This window comes from Homo sapiens, chromosome 9 (genome assembly GCF_000001405.40).
Source record: "Homo sapiens chromosome 9, GRCh38.p14 Primary Assembly".
Classification (NCBI taxonomy): Eukaryota; Metazoa; Chordata; class Mammalia; order Primates; family Hominidae; genus Homo; species Homo sapiens.
The window spans coordinates 975,653-1,001,056 of record NC_000009.12 but is presented as its reverse complement, the minus strand read 5'-3'; the positions used below and the strand labels follow the sequence as shown (position 1 = coordinate 1,001,056).

Sequence of the window (25,404 nt, the reverse complement as noted above, 5' to 3'; positions counted from 1 at the left end):
TATAAGTATTATATCATATGCTACATGTATCAGTATTATATATTATACTTACATACTATTCCCTGGACATAGTTATATATATATATACACACACACACACACACACACACACACACATAAAAATATATACCTATACAAATTCAGCCTGGGACATCCTTATGATAAAAAATTATTCACTGATTATCTGAAATTCAAGTTTAACTGGTGTCTTATATATGGACCAAGACAGTTGATTAATGAGCTCTTCCTTCTTTGGCGCTAATTTATCAGGAAAACTGGAAAACAAAGGTATCTGGGTCCAGCTAGGCTCAGAACAAGTCACCAAAGCTCTGGTGTGTGAATAACTGTATGCGATGCTGTAGGAAGGACTTGATCCCACCCACAGAGTGGCTACTCTCCTGGGCAAATGGCCACTGGAACCCGCTGTCTGGTCAGGCTTGCCTGGCTTCCTTCCAGTTGGGAGGCCTTTAGGCCACAACGGGAATGCATTTTATTCTCCCTATCCCTTCTACTCACTGAGGGTCAAGCCCACTACCTATGGGTGTATCCTCTGCAGGCCGCGCTGGCTTTTGCAGTGCCCTTTCCTCTCCCTGCCATAATAGCTGCAGCAGATGCTGGTGCTCCCAGGCACAGGTGGGCTCACTTCCCTTGTCCTCCAAACACTCATCATGCCCGTGCTTCTGGTGGGGGCCGGAGCTAATGGATCTCAGCTGAGGTTGCTCCAGGCCTCCCTCCCACCCCTTGGGAGAGGGAGGCCAGCTCAGAAACCACAATCCTCCCTCCTTCCTGTAGACTTAACTATCTCACCTTGTCCGCCCTGCTCCCCGGTGGAGCTGCAGAGGATATTCCTTTCAACCGGGAAGCCAAGCAGAGATCCCAGATGCCACCACCCACCTCGATCCACCCCCATATGGTGGCATAGGTCAGTGCCATGATTGGCCAGGGTCAGAGCTGTACCACCGAACGTGCTGAAAGCCCCGCTTTGCCCAAAGAGAGTCTCCGTCTTCACTTCTCCTTTCTTCCTCTCTTCCTCCTCCTCCTTCAAAGGCACACTTGTAAGGCAACTGGGTCCTCCACCCACAGTTCAAAATGCTTACTGACTGGGTCTCACTCTGAGTTTAAAAAAAGAAAAATTCTCTTTGGGTAATTTTTCTTTTAATTGATCGAACCAATCCATAACTATGAAGGGCAAATAACTGTCCTTGCACCCCAAGCCCTGTGGGGATGATGTAGTTAGTATTAATAGTTGCTGCTGATCACTGATGTTAACCACCCCCCACCCCCAGGAGCCTTATTACAATGATTTGGACAAATTCACATGTGCTTTTACCCTGAGAGAGTGTTTTATTCACCTGGGTGGGTAATTTACAGATGAGCAATATACTTCAAGTATTACAACTAGATTTGTCTTTTCCTCCTTCACTGGAGGGCCTGAGTTCTCTAAGGCTGTTCCCTGGACAGGAGTGGACTTCAAGGTTCTCATTGCAATTGTGGATTCCTGGGAGGGAGGGAGATATCCCCTCCCAGAAGTTCTGGTTGAGAAGGTTTAAAGATGGATTAAGAATCTAAATTGTTTGAACAGACACTTCAGGGGATTCCAGATCCAGTGAGTCATAGGCGCCCCTTGGAGAAACTATGGCTGAAATGGTTTTCCTGGCATTCTATTATTTGCCTAGCAGTTTTAATAAAGTTGGGTCTTAACATTACATTTCCTCCATGGCGGCATTAGATAATTCATATCTGAGTTTAATCCGCAAGCCGTGGTCAACACACATGCATGTCATCAGCCAGGCTGAAACTTCTAGGAGGGTCTCAGCGACCCATAGGCTAGGGGCTTCTTGGAGATCCCCTGCCGGTCCTGCGCCGTGGGGTGGGAGGATGTGAATCCCATGGTCTGTAGTCACAGCTGTCCTGGGAGAGGGATCCTTGAATTTGAGTGAAATAAAATATAGCAAAGATATCTTTGAAATACCCTCACATCTTTCTGGTTTGGCCGAGAGATGAATGAGGAGGACTAACAGGCGGAGGGAAAACGCCGACTTCACGCATTTACCTCCACTAGCCTCCAGGGGGCAGCAGAGCCGGGAAGAACATTCACGCAGGCGGCTCCGGGAAACGGAAGGAGGGAAAACGCCGACTTCACGCATTTACCTCCACTAGCCTCCAGGGGGCAGCAGAGCCGGGAAGAACATTCACGCAGGCGGCTCCGGGAAACGGAAGGAGGGAAAACGCCGACTTCACGCATTTACCTCCACTAGCCTCCAGGGGGCAGCAGAGCCGGGAAGAACATTCACGCAGGCGGCTCCGGGAAACGGAAGGAGGGAAAACGCCGACTTCACGCATTTACCTCCACTAGCCTCCAGGGGGCAGCAGAGCCGGGAAGAACATTCACGCAGGCGGCTCCGGGAAACGGAAGGAGGGAAAACGCCGACTTCACGCATTTACCTCCACTAGCCTCCAGGGGGCAGCAGAGCCGGGAAGAACATTCACGCAGGCGGCTCCGGGAAACGGAAGGTGCGGGTCGCTCTAACCCACAGGGTTTCACGCCACGTCCTCTCAGGCTCCTGGGGGTTGCCCTCGACAGCCACGGCCGCACCTCCCACCTCTCATGGAGGTGTCTTCGGGCCCAGGAGGAAGCCAGGCGGCTGGGCAAAGGTCCAGGGGCTCCAAAAAGCCCTGTGAACTCCGAGACCGTAAACTGGATCCAAAGTCCTGAGAGAGACCGAAGCCCACATCCACGTGACCCTTCCTGGTAGTTGACCTTGAGAAAGTTACTTCTTTGCTTCCTCATCTACGAAATGGGAATGGTAATCTACTGACTTCATGTGGTTGTTGAGAGGATTAAATGAGTTAATAGATGTTAATAATGGCTAGCACAGAATAAGTGCTTTTTAAATTATTATTAAGAGACAGCCGCCTGGGCTGGAGTGTAATGGCCCAATCATAGCTTACTGCAACCTCGAACTCCTGGGCGCAACAGATCCTCCTGTATCAGCCTCCCGAGTAGCTAAGGCTGCAGGTGTGTGCCACCACGGCTTTTAAAAATTTTTTGTAGAGATGAGGTCTCACCATGTTGCCTAGGCTGGTCTCAAACTCCTGGGCTCAAGTGATCCTCCCACCTTGGCCTCCCAAAGTGCTGGGATTCCAGCTATGAGCCACCACACCCAGCCGGAATAAGTGCTTTTTAAATGCTTGCTCCTGTGTTCACTTAATTCCAAACCACTTTTGGACAATGTGGGATTCTGGGTAGAATCGGTTTTTCTGTTTTTGTTTTGTTTTGTTTTGTTTTGTTTTGTTTTGTTTTGTTTTTGAGACCGAGTTTCACTCTTGTTGCCCAGGCTGGAGTGCAGTGGCATGATGTGGGCTGACCGCAACCTCCGCCTCCCGGGTTCAAGCAATTATCCTGCCTCAGCCTCCCGAGTAGCCGGGATTACAGGCGCCTGCAACCACGCCTGGCTAATTTTTGTATTTTTAGTAGAGACGGGGTTTCACCATGTTGGTCAGGCTGGTCTCAAACTCCTGACCTTGTGGTCTGCCTGCCTTGGCCTCCCAAAATGCTGGGATTGCAGGTGTGAGCCACCGCGCCCAGCTAGAAGTGTTTTTTTAATAAAATAATTTGCATTTGGATTGGTTTCAGATAATGTTTCAAAATAATACCTAGCAGGTGCTTTGAATTACTAATTTGACTAAATCAGTGTTGGATTCATAAGATTTTCTCTAAGGGTATAAGCAGTGGTATACAAAGCATTATTCCAATTCTCAAAACTCTGGATACAGTAAGATATCTTTAATACTAAGCTGCATTACACATAATGTTTCTTGAAGATTCAGGATCTGCAGTGAATCTCAAATATTACTGTATTAAGAGATATGCAGACAGGCTGGCTCACAGAGCTATCTTGAAGATAGAAAACTGCATAAATCGGCTGGGTGCAGTGGCTCATACCTGTAATCCCAACACTTCGGGAGGCCGAGGCGGGCGGATCACAAGGTCAGGAGGTCAAGACCATCCTGGCCAACATCGTGAAACCCCGTCTCTACTAAAAATACAAAAATTAGCCGGGTGTGGTGGTGCACACCTGCAGTCCCAGCTACTCAGGAGGCTGAGGCAGGAGAATTGCTTGAACCCGGGAGGCGAAGGTTGCAGTGAGCCGAGATCACACTATTGCACTCCAGCCTGTTGACAGAGTGAGACTCCATGTCAAAAAAAAAAAAAAAAGAAAGAAAACTGCATAAATTAGTGTTTTCTGTGGGCATTTTCATTCATTCATTTGTGTTGTTTTACATATGCTGTTGTCTACTCAGGCAGCCCTAAATGATATATGCCCACCTGGTTGCTGGTGGCCTGAGCTGGTTTTAGATCAGGGACAATCCTTAGAGATATACTGAGGTCAGAATGGTGGGCTGACCTAACAGATGCAGGTAGTAGATACTCAATAAAGGCTAGTTCTTCCAGCTCCCTTTCCAACATCTCCCTCCATTTCTAATCTCAAGTCCATTGAGTGAGATTTTTTTGAAAATTGAAACTACTTCCTATTTTCTCAAAGGGGACAGGCCAAAGGAGATAGGTTGACGAAGATTTATTTATCCATGGCTTCCACAGTATTCCTTTCAATGATCAAACTGTTCTCTAGCAACTCATTGTTTTTTCTTTCTCTCTCTTTCTCTAGGGTCTCTGCTAGGTTTTAGTGTACCTTTGAGCAGAGTAGAAAAAGGCTTCTCCTAAAACAGCACCTTTTCTGGTCTGACAAATTTGAAAAGGGTACCCACTCTGGATCTGAGGCCCCACTTGCTCCTTGGCTGGACCCCTTGGTGCAATACACAAAATGGACAGCCTCCACAGCAGCCTATTTCACCCAGTGATCCCTGAAGGCAGAAGCAATAAGGAAAGCCAGGGGCTGCAATGGACAGCCAGCAGGCTGCTAGTGAGGACAGAGCCCACTGGTATTGTCATAGCAGCCCCTGGGGCTGAGAAAGGTCCCACGTTTAATTCACCCACCCTCCCTCTATAGAAACCACCACACATCTGGTTCTGCCATATTTGGCTAGGAGACAGAGATACTTCCACAGATCTTAGGAATCTTTCATTTAAATCACAGTGGCAGGGTGAGGTCATGGTCTAAAACCAACAAGCAGTGACTCAAGTCTTCGGAAGGGATAATTTTTCTCAACAGCTGCTGTTTACTTTTGGTTAAGTCCAGTGGCTTTGCCCATGGGATATATGAAACTCTTGACATAACCTAACAATCTCGGCAAACTCTCAGAATCTAATTAGTAAATAAACTCCATTGTAATTTAAGGGAAAACCACTACCTTTCCTATTTACCCTTCACACTGAAATAGTAAATGATACTGTGGGAACGTTGAAGCATGTCCAGAATAGACCATCAACAAAAGGCAAGATTGCCTCTCCTGAGCCTCCTCTGTCCTCTGAGATTAGAATTTGGGGAGGATGCATTCAGAAATGATTTTTTTCCGGTAATGACAACGTTCAGTACCACATAAGAAATGAAATTGAAGCATTGATCTTATTCTTCAAATATAGGATAGCTTCCATATTAAAATTAACATACAAATTTAGCATCCATCTTATTTTTGACTCACTTCTGCTGAGTAAATGCACATATAAAGAATGAATCACTGAAACAGTATGCAGTGAAATAAAGTTCATTTTTCAAATACGTCAGTTCAAATGCGGTCAAAGCCTGTTTTCTGGGCACCCAACAAATGTTCCCAAGATGCTCCTTCTGCCACCACCTCCCATCCCCTCTATCCTTAGGGCAAGCTAGGGACCTTGGGAGTTGAGTCCCTAAAGAGCAAGTGTGGTAATACAGGACTGCTACACCTCACACCTCCTTCTCTAGTCCTGTTTCTTTTTATACATTTGAAATGTTCTTCGGCTCTTAGGAGCCTGTTGACCAACTTAACAGCCTGGACCAGTGGTCCAGAATCACTGCCCCTTTTCTCTGGTGCCTGATGCCTCCCCAGGTTGCCCTACCGTTAATTTCAACCATATCCATGTACCTAACAAATGTCTTGCTTCTCAATTCATCTATAAAATTACTTCCTCCCACCCCCATCATCAAGAATGTTGCTATTTCTTAAAGCTCAAATCTCGAGGGCAAAACCTATTCCCAGATGTCACTAGTAAACTGAAAATCATGGGACAGCCGGAAGGATCAGCAGTGCCAAAAATTCTGGCCCTCCCCTTGGGGGAAAGAATAGCACATTTAAGCTCTTATCAGGTCCTTCACCAACCAAATTTCCAGAAACAAGCAAGTCTGATCCCAAATGTATACTCAACCTAATAATTGACATTGATGCCAACATTGTTTGAACTAGATCTAGGGTATGTACTAGGACTGTTTACATGTTGATGTTTACCCTTGCCCTAGAAAAGTAGGTGGGAATGGGGGAGAAAGGACTTAATATCTCAGCATAAAAGTTTATGGCCTTCAGCCCTTTTACGTGGTGTAGATCTAAAAAGAAAACCCAAGGATGTGATGAAGAGGAAGTTCATTCTCACATCTTAGTGAGTGTACAAATTACCTGGAGAGGACAATAAAAATGTACTGCTTAGGCTACCAGGGATTCTGACTCAACAACTCAGGCCCAGGAATCTACCCTAGAAATTAAGCATCTGGGTACATGGACCACACTTTGACACAAATGCTCTAGAACACAACGAACCAACCCACACTCTCAGCATCTTAGACAAAGCATTTACACCAACACTAGGAGTTGGCAGATCCACCAGAAGGGAGGAGAGGCATTGTGGTTTAATGTGGATTAACTTCCTCTAAGACCGGATTGACACAAGTCAAACATCAGTTGATGGAAACTGAAAGTGTACAGCCTAGCCCGGCCCCCAGATGTTGCCTGTGTGACAGAAGGAATTAAAACAGAAGTTGGTTTTTCTCTTCTTCCAGATGTTCAGTTTCATGTGAAAGAATAACTGAGTACCTGTGGGCAGATGAGTATTCATTTCCCTTGAATTCTACGTGCTGCAACAGGATGGTCTCTGAGAGCTGAGTTAGAATCCAAGAGGTTTGCCTCTTTAACCAGAGGGGGCTCATAAATTGGGACTCGGAGTAAAACTGAATGCTGGGAGGACAGAGGATCTTAACACCCAGTTTCTCATTTCTGACCCCTGACCACACTTACCCCACTGAAGCAAACATTTCTTTCTTCAGAATTTTTTTTTTTTTTTTTTTTTTTTTTTAGAAGAAGTCTCATTCTGTTGCCCAGACTGGAGTGCAGTGGCGCAACCTCGGCTCACTGCAACCTCCACCTCCCGGATTCAAGCGATTTTCCTGCCTCAGCCTCCTGAGTAGCTGGGCCTACAGGCACCCTCCACCATGCCTGGCTAATTTTTGTACTTTTAGTAGAGACGGGGTTTCACCATGTTGGCCAAGCTGGTCTCAAACTCCTGATCTCAGGTGATCCACCTACCTCGGCCTCCCAAAATGCTGGGATTACAGGCATGAGCCACCACACCAAGCCTCTTTTTTCAGATTATATTGAGGATCAAACATACCTGCACTAGCCCACAAATAAATTGCTTTACAGATAATTCCATTTTGCTGGCCATCATAGAGAGGCCAATGATAATTATTTATAGGCAAAATCAAGCTGTAAGGATGCCGTTATCAGTGAGGTTTTGTTCAATTTGGGTGGTTCAACCTGAAGATGTAATATCTGAGGACAGGCTTTTTAGCATCTTGGCTTAGGTGCTGTGGTACATTATCATTATTGCTTGTTAAATGTGGGTAAACTTTTGCAATGAAGATGCCTTTAAAATACATTTGTCCTAGATAGGTCCAGACATCAGCACTTCATTGCCACATAAAATGTCCTGGACATGTCTTTAGAATCAGGGGGCAAACTGCTCTCCCTTCTACTCCCTTTCTTCCTTATATAAACATTAATGTTTAAATATAACCCTAACAAGAAGCCATATTTCCCTTTTTTTTTTTTTTTTTTTGAGACAAGGTCTGGCTCTATGGCCCAGGCTAGAGTACAGTGGTACAATCTCTGTCCACTGCAACTTTTGCTTCCCCAGCTCAAGCCATCCTCCCACCTCAGCCTCCCAAGTAGCTGGGACTACAGGTACATGCCACCACACCTGGCTAATTTTTGTATTTTTTGTAGAGACAAAAATACAAAAGCTGGTCTCAAACTCATGAGTTCAAGCGATCTGCCTGCCTCGGCCTCCCAAAGTGCTGGGATTATAAGCATGAGCCACCATGCCTGGCCCGTATTTAAACACTCTAGTATGTAACTATGTCAATTAAATACATAGTAGTCCAACTAATACAGGGGATTTTTTCTCCTCAAAGGTTTTTCATGTCAAAAGTGCCCAGTGGAATTAAAAATGAGAAGGCTCTTTTACATATCTCCCTTCTCTTGGGAACCCATTCAAGGGTGGGGAGCATCTCAGGCTGAGAGAACTTGCCCTTCTCCCTCCGAGGACCGAAGAACCTTTTAAGACTTATTCCTGCACTGGGAGCTCTCTCTGCATCCTTGTCATGTAGAGGCTTTTATTTATTTGCTTATTTACTTTCCCTTCCACATTTGTAAGTTTATTGTCTGACCTAAGCAGTCATCTTACCTTTCAAGCACTTTGAAAAATGGAAACAGTAAGTCAGAGAAGTGGTTGGTGTGAGCACCACTGAATGTTACTGTTTGAAACTTCTCTCTAAAAAAAAAAATCTGAGCAAGAAGTTTGTCATATACAGCACCTCAAGAATGTTTTTAAAACGAAAGAAAAAAGCCCTGGTTTTCAATGTTTTGCCTCAAACCAGAATGGCATGGTCTCCAAGTAAGAATGAAGGAATGCACGTCTATATTCTGAATGCAAGGCTACTGAATTTCATTAATAGAAGCAGTAGTTTTCATGGACTGCATACTTCCTATGTCAGGTACTGGGCTAAGCACTTTCCTTGCTTCCCACACTCAACTATACATTGTTGGGAGTTTTCCATTTTTACTTTGTTTTCAATGGGATTCTCCACTAAAATATCTGCTTATCTAGGACTCACGGGTAGGTAACTTGGACAATACATGGAAAGCACATTCTCTTACACATAGTAGGCACTCAGTAAGTATCTGTTGAATAAGTGAATGGATGGAGAGAATTAACTCCATTTTGAACAAATTATCTTTCTGAATGCAACCCTAAAACTTTGCCATTCATATTTCTCAGGAATGTCTCATTTAACTGATAATTTGATTCCTGGCCCATGCGTTAGTAAAAGTCATTTTTACATCAAGTTTCTATTTTTAGAGATCCTCTTTCCACAAGTAGAAATGACATAAACCACGCTCGTCTCCTTAGTTTATTTTTTTCTAGAGTCCTTAACATGCTACATTAACCTGACAAAGCTTAATCTTGTGTTCGTTTCACAATACATTTCATGCAGTTCACAGCTGTGATTGGTTTTACATTGACATTACACATGTTTCGATTCAGCCATGTGAAAAGAGTAATTCTTAATGGGGTTTGTCTCTGAAAACTGTCCAAGCTTAAATAAGCATATGAGCAGTTCACTCTATTCTTAAGTGCATCTCTCTTTAAAATGCAAGGATTTTTAGTGTAAGAATATAATGTCCCTGTTTATAGTCCATTTGCAACAGAACCACTTCCTTTAGGTTTCACATATCCTGAGGAATCCACTTTTACAAAATTGCATTCAAGTATATTATTTCATTTAACATTCCAGGTTGGGTTTAGGTGCAAGGCTGACCTTCAGCTTTACATCCCCAAATAAATCTTCCACGGACCCAGCCTTCCCAAGACTATTCTTAACATTAGACTCTCTTTTACAATAAACATTCAGCACTAAAGCCACAGAACAGAGCTATTTGGCATTTTCCAGTGAAGTGCAAGAAGTTAAATAAGTTATGTTTTTATTGCTAATGTATAGAATCAAGCACAGTCACTTTGTCAAACAGAAGGAAAGGGCATACACAAGATGTGGCCTCTCCTCAGATGCCTCAGGGTCAAAACGCACAGAAAATGTCACCTGGCCACCACCCATCCAGCACCACTTTAAGATGATGTGTTGAGTGTTCTAGAGTCTGAGGAGTCAGACCTCTCGTCATAGTCGTCCTCGGTGTAAATGGACTGCTTTGACACAAATGGACACCCATCATCAGGGATGGAAATCCGAGGGTCTTCCGTGGCGCGGGCAGGAAGGACGGGCGAGCTTCTGAAGACGCTGGTAGAGTTACTGGGGAAAGGACTGACATACTGGGACCTCAGCTGATACTGCTGCTGCAGCGTCATGGTGTTCCACAGGGTGACATCATTGGGCAAAAAGGGGCTCGACTGGCTTCTCGCCAAAGTATTCCTCAGCATCAGCGGGTACCGGGGTGGCTGGGGGAAAGGGGGCTGCAGAGGCCCAGCCAAGGGACTGGGGACAACGTTGCTAGAGTCGGCAGAAAACCTCAACGTGTCTGGGACTCGAAAGGCTGATCCCACAGACCATTTGGAAGACGAGATGGGGTAGGAGCTCAAGGTGTGTTCAAAGATGTGCCCATTGGAGGGCAACGCTAGACTCTCAGGTTCTGCGGAAGTTCGCTCTGCTCCCGTGACTGAGGATCGGCTGGACAGAAGGACTTCCACGGCGCTCACCAGGTCCCCGCCACAGCCCTTGAGGATGAGCTCAAGCACCGTTGGCTTCTGGTTGGGGAATATCTTTTTTAACACTTCAAGCGGCGGTCTGTTGGCTTTCAAGCTGAAGGGCAGAGAAACAGTCCCCGAGGGGCCCTCAATCAGGAGGTGATTCTGCTCCGCGTGACACTTGGGGCTGTCAGGGCGGCTCTCGGGGTTGCCTCCGTTTTTCTGGACAGCGTATCCCCCTTCCTCCACGGACACTATCTCAGGGCTCTCAGGGGTGAAGCAGCCCTTACTCTTTGCCACATCTGGGGAACTCCTCTGGTCAGTGTCTTTGTCACTGAAGACCTCTGTATTGTCTGCCGACTTGCCGTCTCCAAGTCGTTCTTCAGTCAAATCTGGAAAACAGAACAGCTGAGTTAATCTTTTCCTGGTGTGCATAAAGAGGAGCAGATGTGCTCAGAAGAGACCTGTACACGTGCTTTTTGGAAGAGCAAATGCATCTCAATGGGTCATAATATACTACAAGCCTTTTTAAAAAAATTCGAACTATATCACTGGCAAATGAAACAAAAACCCTGTAAATAAAGATCTAGAAATCAGAGTGGCTTCCTGGAATGCTTTGTGCAAGGAAGCTTGCCTTCAACATAGAATGGCTACATGAACCTGTAACATATGGCTTTCATAGCAGTAACAATCTCAATAGAGAGCCTCTTTGGGAGGAGGGGTGGGGGACTCCTGGAAGAGCAAAGCTCAGGGAGAAACAGGAAAATCAGCTCAGCTTGTCTTCCGGCTCCTCTTCTGCAAATAAGGTCCCCAGCTGTTATCTAGGGATAGTACCATCCAGATACCCACAGGGAATTTTAATATCTGAAATCTATTTTCCCATAGGCTGATTTTGTGTTAAATATGTCTTATGAACCAATCAGTAAGTTGCATCAGGTTACCATATACAATAGCTAGCTAATTCAATTGCTGAAGTGAAAGATACCTCTATCCATTGAAATCTTTCATAAGAAGCCACTTGAGGCATTGGCAAACTTGGTTGCCAATAACTTGTACTAGAAAGCAAACGAAACCAGCTATGAATTCCGGATGGCAGGATAAGTTGCTGGAGAGGAAAAAAGGAAGTGGCTAGAAAGGGTTTGTTAAATTGCACGGGGGCATTATTATCCATCAATGAAACAACGCATCACACTCCACCGCCACGGGTGGCACGAGGCAGATACCTGTGCATGAACTGTTTTGCTGGTACAGTTCATGGAAAGGACTTGAAGATACCTTTTTTTAAAGCCAGTGAAATTTGAAGATACCTTTTTATATTATATGAAAAGAAGAAGGAGGGAAAAAAAGGCTTCCCAAATAAAGCAGAGACTTGCGATAAAGTAAACCAGTTGCAAATTTAACATCTTGACCTAAGAACATTTTTACTTAACAGCTGGTAATATTGCAGGGCTAAGCACACAGAAAAGAGTAAGTCAGAGTGGTTTGCTTTGCAGTAGTAAATTCCAACAGGACTTTATAATAAAGAAACATATTTTTTAGTAGCAAGCTATTTGCAAATAGAGTTTTGTCCTTTTTTGAAACACGCGCTGGCTGTGGCTACTCAAAGCCAGGGTAGCTGATCGAAAGATGAAAATTCCTAATGACCCAGTTGTTGAGTTGTAAACAATTGCTTTGCCTGTGTTTTCTGCTGCCCTGCCTGAATAGCTTCATTGTTGCCTTCTCTGTGGGCACACCTGATTATATACAGATAGCCAGCCGGTGAAATTTCATCAAAGCACCCTCTAGAAACAATCTTCTCCTACACTTGTCATTTTAAAAGCCTTAAGGGCCTACTTATGAACATTCTTCTAATACAGGTGTATCTTAAGTGTAACCAAAAAACAAAACTTTGTGAAATTTCATCAAAGCACCTTCTAGAAACCATCTTCTCCTACACTTGTTATTTATTTTAAAAGCCTTAAAGGCCTACTTAGAAACATTCTTCTAATACAGGATGTATCTCAGATGTAACCAAAAACCAAAACTTTGGCCTTTAACAAAGCAATAAATATGTGGCAAACATAAGTAAATACACTTTAAAACACTCTTCAATTACCTCAGTGCAAGTGTCAACATACATCTGATAGGAATTCATACTTATCCCAAATTTGCATTTTAATTAAACTGCTTCTTTTTTAATATAAAATATAAGGTTTCCAATGAGAGGTTCATTTGCGTCACATACATATGAAGCCATCTTCACTTTATATAATGACTCTATAGAAAGACTCTACTGTAGAATGACTCTATTTTTGTAAGAGAAATTTGACATATTCTCTCCTACAACTTCTTAGGATGGGGGACACAGCTTTTACCTCTTGAGTTAATGTGGTATTTGAACTCATGTCCTTGATTCAAAAGAGAAAAACAGCAACAAAAAGGCTTCTATAGATTTACTTTATAATCAGCTAGATCTATTTAAATGTTCCTGACTCATGACCCATACATACTTCTTGGCTGTTACTCTATTATTAAACATTTGAAAATTATTAAACACTTGAAAAGTGATAGCATATTAATATACTATCACTTTTAGAAATTGGAAAAACAAGTCAAATACTCTCCCCATGTAAATATGGACATAAAGTACTTCTTTAAAATACTATGTACTTCTAAACAGTTTCCTTATTTTTTAATTTTAGCGTAATTATCAGCACCAAGTATTTATATTTCTGCACGATACTGGGAGAAACAGAATAAAGGATGAAAAACACCAAGAAGTGTAAGACCCACACCTAGCTTATGGACCTTATCTTCTAGCTGGGGAAATAAGACACACATGCAGGAGAAGAAGCAAACAGGGCCTGGCAGCATTTGCTAAGCCTCAAATATGACACACATTGTATACCAATGTTCATGGCAGCAGCATTCACAATAGCCAAAAGGTGAAAGCAACCCAAATGTCCATCAGTGCATGAATGTATAAAACGTGGTGTACACACACACACACACACACACACACACACACACACACACACACAGTGGGATATTATTCAGCCTTAAAAAGGAATGGAATTCCAATACATGCTATAACATGGATGAACCTTGAGAACATTAGGCTAAGTGAAATAAGCCAGACACAAAAGGACAAATACTGTATGACTCTACTTATATTCGATACCAAGAATAGGGAAATTCAGAGAGAAAGTAGTGTGGTGGTTGTCAGGGGCTGGAGGAAAAGGGAATGGGGAGTTATTGTTTCATGGGTATGGAGTTTCCGTCTGGAATGATGAAAAGGTTCTGAAGATGGATGGTGGTGATGGTTGCACAACATTTTGAATAAATGCCACTGAATTGTGCCCCTAAAAATGGTTAAAATTGTAAACTTTATGTTATATATACTTTACCACAATAAAAAAAGAAAAATATATGCCACACAGTGTCATAGTAATATAGAGAATGAAGAGATTTTTTTAAGCAAGAGAAACAACTAGTCCTTCTTGGGAATAAAGCGTACATAGGCACAGCTGGAAAGCTCAAAGCTCAACTTTTTTTTTTTTTTTGAGACAGAGTCTCACTCTGTCACCCAGGCTGGAGTGCAGTGGCATGGTCTCGGCTCACTGGAAACTCTGCCTCCTGGGTTCAAGTGATTCTCCCGCGTCAGCCTCCCGAATAGCTGGGACTACAGGTGTGTGCCACCACACCCAGCTAATTTTTGTATTTGTAGTAGAGACAGGGTTTCACTATGTTGGCCAGGCTCCTCTCGAACTCCTGACCTCATGATCCACCCGCCTCAGCCTCCCAAAGTGCTGGGATTACAGGAGTCAGCCACCACGCCCGGCCAGCTCAACTATTTTTAAAAGAAATATATGAACCAAATAGCTTTGTGTTTTAAAAGGTACATCCCCTGCCCCCACTTTAGATAAGTTTCAAACACTGAAAACATATTAGGAAGTGTTTTCTCAGGTCTGTCAACCAAATTGACTCTTCCACAGTACACTTCAGTCTCCAGAAAAAAAGTGGATCAAACAGCAGAAGGCTAACTGAAAGGGGAATTAGGGAATGAGGTTCTCACTAACATAATGACTCTACCATTACAAAAATGGAGGCTTTTTTTTTTCAAGGTAGCAACAGATATACTGTCCCAATCAACTGAATACTTGATACCAGGATTACAAGTCTGACAATATAAAATTCCACTCTTGTACCTATTTTCCTAAGTTCTGCGGAACAGACGGTAGTGGAATCTTATGTCAGTGCCAGCTTGTTCAGCAATTGTGAACTCTCAGACTGTGAAAGTCACTTTCTCATTTTGTTGTGTTACCCTTTGCCCCTGCTACTGGGACATGCTAGTGCATCATGCACTTCTGGTTACTTGTCAAGGAGTGGTGATAGATTACACCGAATCCTCCATGCTCTCTCCGCAGGTCTCTGTGCCGTCTGGCTATAGCCAAAATATGAGAAAAGCTAACACAATGTCACAGGAATCAAATCTACAAATTCAGCGTAAACCAACCAACCAGCTGAGCTCAGCACTGCTTACACTGTGTTCAAAGGAAAGACAAAGATGATGAAAGAACAAGCAGAGCACACCTGTGAGGCTTATGCACCTGAGCCGCACACAAGGTCCTGCTAAGTAGTGCTGGGTGAGCCAAATCCCCATCAACATGTAAGGCTGTTGGAGTTTCAAAACTAGGCAAAGGAAGACTAGCCTCTAACTTTGCACCAAGAATAACTCCTCACCAAACAATAATTTCTGAAGGGCAGGATATATAGTTCCTGCAATTTTGTGGCGCTATGGTGTCTAGTACTGGTTGTATTATTGCACCTAAACTAAATATATTGTAAATTATTCTATTATAAATACAGACTTTCACAGGTAATTATAGAGGGTGAGTTTTGAGCCCAGTGATAAAGTGTAATTTAATAACAGGTACTTCTTTACATCTCCAGATTTGTTCTTAAATAAACTTTACAAATCATTCTAGTTGGTTTAAAACATAAAGGCCTTTCTAGACATAGAAATGTGAAACTGCCAACTAACAAAATAAAATAGGAAATACTCCTGAAACATTTTACCTTCTTTCTTCTTGAAACTGAAACCCTAATTCCTAGAACATTAAGAGTGTATATCAACTGATAATATTTTTACCCCGGTAGATGGGTATAGAAAGTCAAAGCTATTAAACAGGGAAGAAATCAATTTTATCGAATATGACAAATATTACTGAAAGTGATACAATATGCTGTTTCTATTGCTAAACATGTACATATTTTTAAAATCTTAATATTCTCTCTTCCATTTCATATTTCATGGGGTAGAAACACTTATAGCTATCCCTGAAATAAACTGTGCACTAGGGTAAAGAGGTTTTTAAAAGAAGTAGATATTCAATTAAAAAGAAAAGTTTTTCTACAGATAACAATGCTACCGACTTCAAAATATATATGCCATAAGATGACTACAATACTTTTTTTTCTTTTTTTGCTACAAGACTTTAAAGAGAGAAAATAAACACTCACAAAAGTGCTTTCAATCTAAAATTACAGTTTGAAAATGTAACTTTCTTTAGGGGAGTTTTTCACATAAAAATGCAATTTAGTAAAAAAAAAATGTATTATTTCAAATACTTTGAGAAAGTCTACCACATATGAGAAACAAACATTCTGCTCACGATGCATAAAAGTGAAAAATCTGGCTGGGCGCGGTGGCTCACACCTGTAATCCCAGCACTTTGGGAGGCCGAGGCAGGTGGATCACGAGGTCAGGAGATCAAGACCATCTGGCTAACATGGTGAAACCTCATCTCTACTAAAAATACAAAAAAAAATAGCCGAGCATGGTGGCAGGTGCCTGTAGTCCCAGCTACTCAGGAGGCTGAGGCAGGAGAATGGCGTGAACCCGGGAGGCAGAGCTTGCAGTGAGCTGCAGATCTCACCACTGCACTCCAGCTGCGGCGACAGAATTAGACTGTCTAAATAAAAAAAAAAAAATGTGAAAAATCTTTCTGACTTAGATGTCATAGGTTATATCCATTCTATCCAATTATATCTACGAAAACAAAATAGTTCTTACATACAGAATGAAAACACAGAAAAACTCGAGCAGAGAGGAATATTTCCTAGCTCAAAAGTCACTGGACTCCCCCATCCCTTTTGAAATCATGTCACGCATTTTGAAACATAGATTGTCATATCCTCATCTGTTCACTTGAGCTGTGGGGAACACACCTGTAAATAACAGGTCCTTGATGGGTAGTTTTCAAAGCACATAAATCTTACAACAATGGCAAGGGAGGGAGCCCAGGCAGGATGAGACTTTTACAGGAGACCATTGCCTAATCAGAATTCTAATCGTAGACAAACGCTTCACATTTTCTCTTACCTTCATCTCACACTAGAAGTGATGAATTATTTTAAAAAAATGAATAGTTGAAAATCTAAAGAACACCAGGGAATGATCTCGATCTAAAAACTTTCCTTTTCTTCCTGGGGTGGATTGCCGGGTTGGGGAGGGTTGTGAAAAGTTAAAAAAAAAAAAAAAACTAGCCATGCTTTACTTTTTAAAAAATCATTAACAACACTGAATTAATAACGTATGAAGGAATCAGAGTGGTTCCTTGACACTATATTTTGGGGGAATATTGCTATAGACAGGACTGGGCTGAAGGAAGTATGGTTTGCAACTGTGGACCTCACATATTTTGTAAAAAATTAGTTTTGATCTCTTTCTTGACTCAGAAGGGAATACCTTCCAAGAAGCAGAGGGGAAATTACCTACAAATCTACATGTTTATTTGGTACCTTCCAAAATGCACCTGTCTAACTCATCCATCTATTTAACAAATGCCCCTAAATGCCTTACTATGCTCTCATGTACTGTGCTGGGTAAGATCATACAGAGATGATCAAAGCATTGCCTCTTGACCACTGAGAGGCATACAGTTTACTAACTAATCTTTTGCAAAATTCCAAGTAAGCTGCAGTTGGTTATATTTCACAGTGAAATACAGCAAATAATTCCAAGGATAGCAGCTGGGCAGACCATGGTGTCTTCACAGGAGGAAATATTGTTTTAAATGCTTACATATAAAGATTATGGGTGCTAGAGATATATACTGAACTAAACAAAGTAATAATCAGTGGGAAAAACGTGGAACACTAATCCCAGCTCTGTAAAATTTATGTCTGCCTAGTTGTTGTAATCAAGAGATTGGAGATTTTGTAAAGAATTGATGTGCCGACTCTTAAGTTTTTCATTATTATTATTGTTACTTGGTACTTGATTGTGCCTTTTATAGCTGTTTATGCAATAAAATGCAAAAAAACCCCATACCTAGTTATTTTAGTTTCCCTTCTGAGAACAGTAGTATGCATTGCTCAGGCAAGAGGATGACTCACTAAGGCGATGTGGGACGTAACTGACACAATCACAAGGCGGTGGACCTGTGAGGACCAGCTGTCCTATCACTGCATCCTCCACCTCTGCCATGAGCACCCGTGCACAAGCCATCAGAGCCACACAGGACTAGACAAGGAGGTCCAAGGACCTGAGCAGCTAATGGCTAAGGGGCTGCAACAGGTTTAAAGGCGGGAAGAAAGGAAAAAAGCAAGAGGCGAGGAAGAAAGGAAGAGAAAGAAAGAGGAGGCGGGCAGGCAGGGCAGGCAGGCCCATGGTTTTTTGCTGGGCTTAGTCCTCCTTCCCGTCAGGAAGAAGTGCAACATTTCCAGAAAAGGGCTCCGAGTCCTCCAGGGACTTTGATTTATGAAGATTTATTCCTTTTCTCTCTGTAAAGCTGTTAGCAGAAAGTGCTGACTGGCTGCAGCAAAGAATTTCTCATCAATGCTCTTTGATTGTATTTTGCAAACAAAATGCCTGTTGCTTGGTAACATTTCACTTGAGCCTGACCTTCTCCGAAAGTTATTGCTATCAGATTCGATTCACACTGTCCTCCTGTGATTACTGTAATCTTTTAAACCCGGGAGTTCATCCATCAGGGAAAAAGAAAAGTTGGTTGTGTAAGTCGAGAGCACGGCTATCCTCCAGATTTATAACACCAAGGAGTGATTTGGAGGTGGAGAGAGGTTCTTTCCCAGATGGCAGTAGAACTCTGGTTCCTAGACGTGGAACACACTCTCGTTTTTCCTGCCAAACCGTCCCAGATCCACAGGATGGACCCCAGCACCTCCCTGACGCCAGTCCCAGGCAGCTCGGGCTCTGCAGAGAAAGAACTAGGAGATGAGCACAGGCGACCCCACCGCCAAGGGGTGCCCTGCGTGGGTACTGGGGCTGGGTGAGGAAGGCCTAGGCCTATGGTTGCCAGATAAAATAACAGGATGTCCAGTTAAGTGGGACCATCAAATAAACAAAGAAGGCTTTCTAGAGAAAGTATGTCCCATGCAATATTGGCATCCTATTTTTTGTTTGCATGATTTTTGCAGAAGGTGTCAACTCACCTCGGGACTCCTGCCTTGGGAAGGAGAGGGTAGTGAAGCTCAGGAAGAGCAGAGAGGGAGTGGTGGCCCAAGAGCTGGGCAAGGGAAAGGCAAGGGATGTGGCTGTCTCTGGGCGGTTCCTGAGCTGCCTAGTGAGCTGCTTCCTGACAGTGACCAAGGAAAGAGCCGTCCCCAGCAGGCGGCGAGAAGCTGGGCTCAGCTGCAGCTCCGACCCCCTGGTGCAAGGAGACGGCAGTCCATTGCGGCCGCAAGGAGCCGCTGCCCCCTATCTTTGCCCCTACTTTGAACCCGCTGTGGCCAGGGTCCCAGTCCTGGGCCAGCTGCCGCAACCCTCCGCAACACACACACAGCAACTGCACTGCGTGCAAACCGGCCAGGCCAAGAGCTGGGAAGACCGGTCCCCAGCAGCATCCCAGCCCCAAGAGCCAGCCCTGGGGTGGGGTTTGGAAGAGACCTTAGTGCCTGTATGCGTATTCCTTTTTATTTGGTTGGGTTTTGTTTTTTAAAATGCAACTGAGTCAAGCCCCTCACCCTCAAATCAAGCTGTCTTAAAATGAGACCCTGTTTTTCAATTCACAGGTACACTTCATAAATGGTTTTTAAGTATTTCCCGCTTTTCTTTTCTTCCTAGCCAACAGTCAGAGGGTTTCTCATCCTGGCCTGGACGAGTGTTCCGTAACACCCATTACACTTGCAGGTGCTTCTCTTTGGGGGAAAAAAAAATTAAAAAAAAAGGAAGTGGACTTTGCGGGACCCAGTCAAGCCGGAGCAGAAAAGCCCAGAGGCAAGCATAAAGATGCTAGGAGGCGCAGGGCAAGAGGAAAAAATAAAATAAAGGCAGTTTTCCAAAATCTCCTAACTTCTCCCCCTATAGTTATCTTGTTTGCTCCGCCCCCACCCCCTAAGAAATAAACAGGAAAGAAGATCCTACTTTCCCATTTGATCCTTCTCTCTTATTCCTAACCATGTTTTCGATTTCTTTTTCCTTTTAAAAGCATTTAAAAGAATGTGTGTACATATTCATTTTGATGGCAGATGGAGACCTAGGAAGAGTCTACAGCCACAGATCTTTCTTCTCATCGCACCACAGTCTAAGGTGTCCGAGGACACTCCCCTGGAGGAAAAGTTGGGGGTAGGGAAGGGAGCCACAACACAAGAATGTAACTTTAGCTTTTCACCTTGGCAGTGACCCTTAACTTCCCTCAGCTCTTGAGCCCACGTCCTGAAAGGCTGGCTAGGCTGATTAAAACTGCTGATTCAGATACACTAACAGTTGGAAGATCTTCATGCCTCCTGTATTTTCATGGGGAGAAGGAGTATGAGAAGAACATAGAGGGAATTTAGGAGAAGAATAAATGAATTAAATAGTGTATGTATATATACATATATATATACACACACATATATAGCTTAAATTAGAATTTAAATTTAAGCTATATATATAGCTTTTAATAGATATATATAGCTTAATATATCTATACATAGCTTAAATCAAAATGTTCAGCTCAATCAAAATCTAATAATTAATTCCAGGTCCATCGTAGATGGTAATCAAAGAGAAGGAGAAATCTACATTCAAAAAGAAAAAAGAATACTTCATAACTAGAAGTAAAAACCACTAGAATATGAAAATTCTCCTTAAAAACACCACACATTGAAAGGGATATTCAACATACTACACCATTAGATAAAATAACCCCATTCCTTTAAAGAATCTAAAGCAGAATTTGAGAAAAAATTCTTCCAGTTACAAAACTGAGTTTTGATGTGAATATGTCACTCCCTCAACGGGGTGGTTTTCCTCCAGTGATTCACAGCAAACATACTCTTCCTTAAGGCATGTGCTTTTCTCAAAGATTTCTGGAGAGGAAAGACTCCATGTGCTTCTGTTTACAAGAAAAAAAAATCTCTCTTCACAGCTTATGTATTAAAGAGGTCCTTTGCCCCGCAAAAAGACTAACCACATTTCAAAGTCAAAGTTCACAAAGTAATAGATCTACATTGCCAGCAGATATTGAAAGATTTCTGATGGTCTGTATACTTAATGTACATGTGGAACTACCATTCCAATAGAGTTCTGCTTACTCTCTGCACTTAGTTTTGCTTACTCTCTGCACTTATTCAGGAGTAGTTCTGATATGCTTCTAAATACATATGGAATGTTATACACAAATACATTATTAGAACAACTGCAAAAAGGGTATAATACCTATAGCAACAGGCAGTCTCAGTGAGCAGTTTTCTTCAGCTTAAACCCCAAATAGACTTTATTTCTACAAGCACTGTGTAGAATGGATCCACTTGTATGCCTGTCTTCCTAAACAATCATCTATTATTTTCCTACCTTTCTCCCCACTCCCCATCAGAGTGGTGATTTGCTTTTTTTTAAAAAAATGGGAATTATGGGGTCACAGCAAGTGAAAGAAGAAAACAAAAGTTGTGTACATCAATGTACAAGGTATGGGGGGGTGGGGGTGACCAGCTGGAAACTGAGCCCTTGGTCCCTGATGCCTCGGTCCCCCAAAGTCCTCACTTGGACCTCGCCTTGTGATAAATCCTATTCTCCTTTGCAATTACTTGTTTTCAATTCGGAAGGCTCAGGCTATCCCTGAGTGCTAAGTAGGAGTAAAACAGCACAGCTCTGCTTTGTCCAGTTGAGATCCGTTTCCTTTTTCTATTCTCCCAAAGCACGTATCCTGCTGCCGCTGCCTACTCTGCCTTCCTGCCTGCCCTCACTCCTCCTCCTCCTGGGGTTGTGTTTTTAGTTTTGTGACTCTTTAGAAATCATGAACTTTAGCTATCCCAAAGAATACTCTGAAGAACACAGGATGTGAAAGGCATCTCCTTGGATAAAAACCACAGAACCCAATGCCCGATCACAGGAGTGCTGCTGAGTTAACCTCTGATGTTAACTCAGGCCTCTGCCCTAGTCCTGGGGGAAACGGAACCAGAGAAGCTGGAAATGGAAAAAAATTAAGAAAATATATTGGTACAAATCCAATTCTAGAGCTGAGACCAAACTCTTCCTTGTTATTTGTTCAAACCTATGGGAGAAAAATAATAAAACCTTTTTCTCCTCCCTCCTCTTCGTCTGTGACAAATCCATAAATATAAAAAGATGAGACAGACAAAAGAGAGACAACTGGCGATCATTTCTGAGAAACGTTTATATGCTAACTTGGATTAAATATCCACAAAATCCAAGTTCGGCAAACTCTCTTCAGGCTTTAAAATTCCCAGCTCTACTGTCACACAGGCTGTTCTCAGAGCTTCAGGCCTGGAAAGCATGGCGGAAAGACAGGGCAGCAGAACTCCACCTGCCAGTCACCCGTTGACTCACCATGAAACAGGTGAGTCCGCCTCACTTCCTCAGCTCCACAGGATCCAGACAAAGCAGTCCTGGGCTCCTGAAAGCCTTTCTCCGAAGCTAGGGGTACCGTCTTTAGGGAGTTGGCAGGTCAGTGTAGGTACCAGTTTTGCCACAGTTCTACTTACAGGAGGGCTCTGGACCTTCCCACTCCTAATTCCAGCATGCCCCCTTCCGGGAGAAGGTGGGCTGTGTTCCTTTGCACATTTGCCCCAGTTAAGGAGAAACACCAAACACATATCCACTGAATTCCAAGAGCCATCAAAAGAGCTCTTGAGCTGGGCAGAACCGCAAGCTAGAAATTCCCCAGGAAGAGAGAGACTAAGAGACTCAACTCAGGCCTGCCAAGCTCAGGAGGCCTGGATGGAAACGGATGGGTGGTGGGGGATCAGATTTTTTGTATTCCTTTAAACCACGAAGACAGCTGAGGGCAGCCTGGGGAACAGTGTTAAAGGATCTAGGAGGTTCTGCAAAGGAGTGAATTCTGGGCGCATCAGATTCTTTTCCCGCTATCAGCTCACAAGCCTTTCCGGACCCTTTTACTATCATTGCTAAATGGAACTTATTTCACCAGTTACAAGAGTCTGGAGGCCACGGAGCAAAGCTAGAAAGGCCAGGGTTCTGAGAGTTGGATACTTGTCCTCACTCAAATTTTCCTGGGCCCTGGGCAGGGCCGGGCCGGCCGAGAAGCACAGCCAGCTCGACTCAGCCGAGTGTTGGCCTTGGCTCCTTCCCTACACCTACCTACCCATTCCAACCCCCAAATGGCAAGGACCTCTAAAGCCTGCAGCCAGGAAAATCCGACCCCACCGTAGTGAGTGTGCGCACGTGGGTTTTAATTTTGTCCTGTCTCAACTCCGTTGTCTCCCTGCTCAATCTGACACGTTCCGAACCCTTCAACCTGGGAAGGCACCTGGCGATACTGACGCACAGTCCCGTCGTTTGGCTGCCCGGAGGCGCCTTCCCTGCGGGCGCGAGTGCCACTCGCGCTGGGTCCAGACTCAGCCGGCTTCTCCCGGGAGAGGAAGCCCCGGCCTGGCGGAGAGTAGGAAGGAAAGCCCCGACAGGCCCACGTCCCAAAACTTTGCCTCCAGTCCTCCCAAGTGGAGCTGCAGCTGGCACTCCGAAGTTGCCCCCGCGCCCGGCCAAACTCCCGCACCTCAGACGCTCTTACCTGGCTTGGCGAGCTGCGCCTGCAGAGCCCCGGGCTGCGGCTCGGCAGTCCAACGCAGCGCGGCGGCCGCGGCCAACTCGGCAGCAGGGCGCGGCGGCTGCGGCTGCGACGGCTGAGAGGCTGGCGGCGGCTGCGGGGCGGCGACGGCGTCCCCCGGCGGCGGGGGCCCTGGCAGAGCGCGCAGCGAGTCGGGGATGAGGCTCTCCAAGCTCTCGTTGGCCTGCTGCCGGCGCAGCGCCACCTGCGCAGCCATGACCCGCTGCCGCTCGATGATGAGGATGCACTTCTCGCAGGTGCAGTCCTTGAAGCGGCAGTAACGCTTGTGGCCCTTGAGCCAGGACAGGACGCCATGGTTGCGGCAGCGCGCGCACTTGGGCGTGCGCTGCAGGGGCGCCCGTGGCGGCTGCGACACCGGGCCGCCCATGTACAGGTAGGGGGAGCCGTAGCCGTTCATGCCCCGGGCTCCCGAATGAGTTGGCAGCCTGGCTGCGGGAGAGGGCCAGGGAGCGCTGGACGGCGGGGCTGCGAGGCCCGCTCAGGGGCGGCCTCCGGGCGACGCGGCCCTTGGTCCCGCAGCCCCGGTGGTCGTGTGTGCTCCGGGGCGGCCGGAGGTGCCGCAGTCGTCTCTCCAGCTCCCTTCGCGCTCACAGCTCGGCCTCCCAGCTCACGCCCAGCCAACGCCGACGCGGGCCTCTGCCTTGGGCGCGCAGCCGGGTCGGCACGTCCTCCTTCGCGGAGGCGCTGCGGCGGCTGCAAGGAGCCGGCGACAGCTCTGATTAAGGTCTGAGCCAGCTCTTCTGCAGCTCCCTCGTGAGCCGGCCGGACCCAACACCTCCGCCGCCCTCCCCCAACCCCTCCTCCTTCCCACCGCCACCCCCGCCCCTGGGGTCCCTGTCTCCTTGCACTCCCCGCCCCACGCCTTCCTCCTCCTTTGCGCCCCTCGGGTGCCTGCACTTCACCTTCCTTGCCACCTGCAGCCAGGCCACTCTCGCGGGGGCGCTCGCGGCCCCCTCCTCCAAGCCCTCTCCGCTACCCCAGCCCGCGGCTGGAGACTGCGGCGCTCCAGAACGCGGCGGTGCTCGCGGGGCGGAGAAGGGGAGGACCAGCGGGAGTGAGGGTGGGGGTGCCTGTAAGCGAGTGAGGTGGCCGCTCCGCTTCTCTCTCTTCTCCTCCCTCCAGTCCAGATCTGGCCGCGTTTTTCCGAGCCCAAGGCCGCTTTTATCCCGACATTTGGCCGCAGAAGCTCAGCTCCGGGAGAACTCGAACCTACGGGAGTGTTGCGGTTGCACCCCGGACCTGGGTGGAGTTTAGGATAGGGGAGTGAAGTGATGTTGGTTTAGGAAAGTTAGGCTCTTTTCGTAATTTCCTTTTAGAACGTATTTTTTTCTCTTTTGTTGCTTTAGAAGAAAATGGTTTTGGAGATCTGCCGGCCCAAGGATGACAAGCCATTTTGCAGGCGAATTTTACTTTTCTACCCTCCTGTCCATGTTTTAATATAAAACAGTATCCTGAAAGGTCAGGGACGTACGTGCTCCTGTAAAGGATTTGTTAAGCGCCGGGTATAAACTTTCAAGGGGCAGACACAGAAGCCACATTGGCGCCCCCAAAGTTACCGATATCCTCTTCCCTCGCTCCCAGCAGCTACTGGAAGCAAACGGAGGTCTTGCGCCAGCCACTCAGTTCAAATCCCCACGGATTCTGTGATTCAGTTATGGATATGGGATGGGGCCACTTTTTCACCTCCTTAACCCATAGACCCCAGTCATAGATGTCTTGGGGGAGAGGGTCCTTCACAAGATGACA

The 25,404-nt window shown here is 45.2% G+C and overlaps 1 protein-coding gene across 1 annotated transcript, besides 3 other annotated features; it reads right to left on the bottom strand.

Annotated features, from left to right (window-relative positions):
• Positions 1 to 9,324: 9,324 nt before the first annotated feature.
• DMRT3 (doublesex and mab-3 related transcription factor 3) lies at positions 9,325 to 24,402 on the bottom strand. Its single transcript, NM_021240.4, has 2 exons — positions 23,602 to 24,402; positions 9,325 to 11,016 (listed from the first exon to the last, which is right to left on the bottom strand). The coding sequence occupies exons 1-2, from the start codon at positions 24,053 to 24,055 to the stop codon at positions 10,052 to 10,054; spliced, it is 1,419 nt and encodes a 472-aa protein (NP_067063.1). The 5' UTR covers positions 24,056 to 24,402; the 3' UTR covers positions 9,325 to 10,051.
• Positions 19,328 to 19,834: an enhancer, noted in NCBI's record as "H3K4me1 hESC enhancer chr9:981223-981729 (GRCh37/hg19 assembly coordinates)". NCBI's record gives its function as "activates a minimal SCP1, AML or CMV promoter by ChIP-STARR-seq in naive H9 embryonic stem cells {active_cell/tissue: H9 hESC(naive)}" and the evidence as "EXISTENCE:reporter gene assay evidence [ECO:0000049][PMID:30033119]".
• Positions 24,235 to 24,734: an enhancer, noted in NCBI's record as "H3K4me1 hESC enhancer chr9:976323-976822 (GRCh37/hg19 assembly coordinates)". NCBI's record gives its function as "activates a minimal SCP1, AML or CMV promoter by ChIP-STARR-seq in naive and primed H9 embryonic stem cells {active_cell/tissue: H9 hESC(naive and primed)}" and the evidence as "EXISTENCE:reporter gene assay evidence [ECO:0000049][PMID:30033119]".
• Positions 24,735 to 25,236: an enhancer, noted in NCBI's record as "H3K4me1 hESC enhancer chr9:975821-976322 (GRCh37/hg19 assembly coordinates)". NCBI's record gives its function as "activates a minimal SCP1, AML or CMV promoter by ChIP-STARR-seq in primed H9 embryonic stem cells {active_cell/tissue: H9 hESC(primed)}" and the evidence as "EXISTENCE:reporter gene assay evidence [ECO:0000049][PMID:30033119]".

Bases quoted from the DNA above. Each gene is read 5' to 3' on its own strand.
- DMRT3 (NM_021240.4), bottom strand. From the start codon at position 24,055: ATGAACGGCTACGGCTCCCCCTACCTGTACATGGGCGGCCCGGTGTCG. The intron at 11,017-23,601 runs GTAAGAGCGTCT...TCTGTTTTCCAG, and splicing joins GGCGCAGCTCGCCAAGCCAG to ATTTGACTGAAGAACGACTT.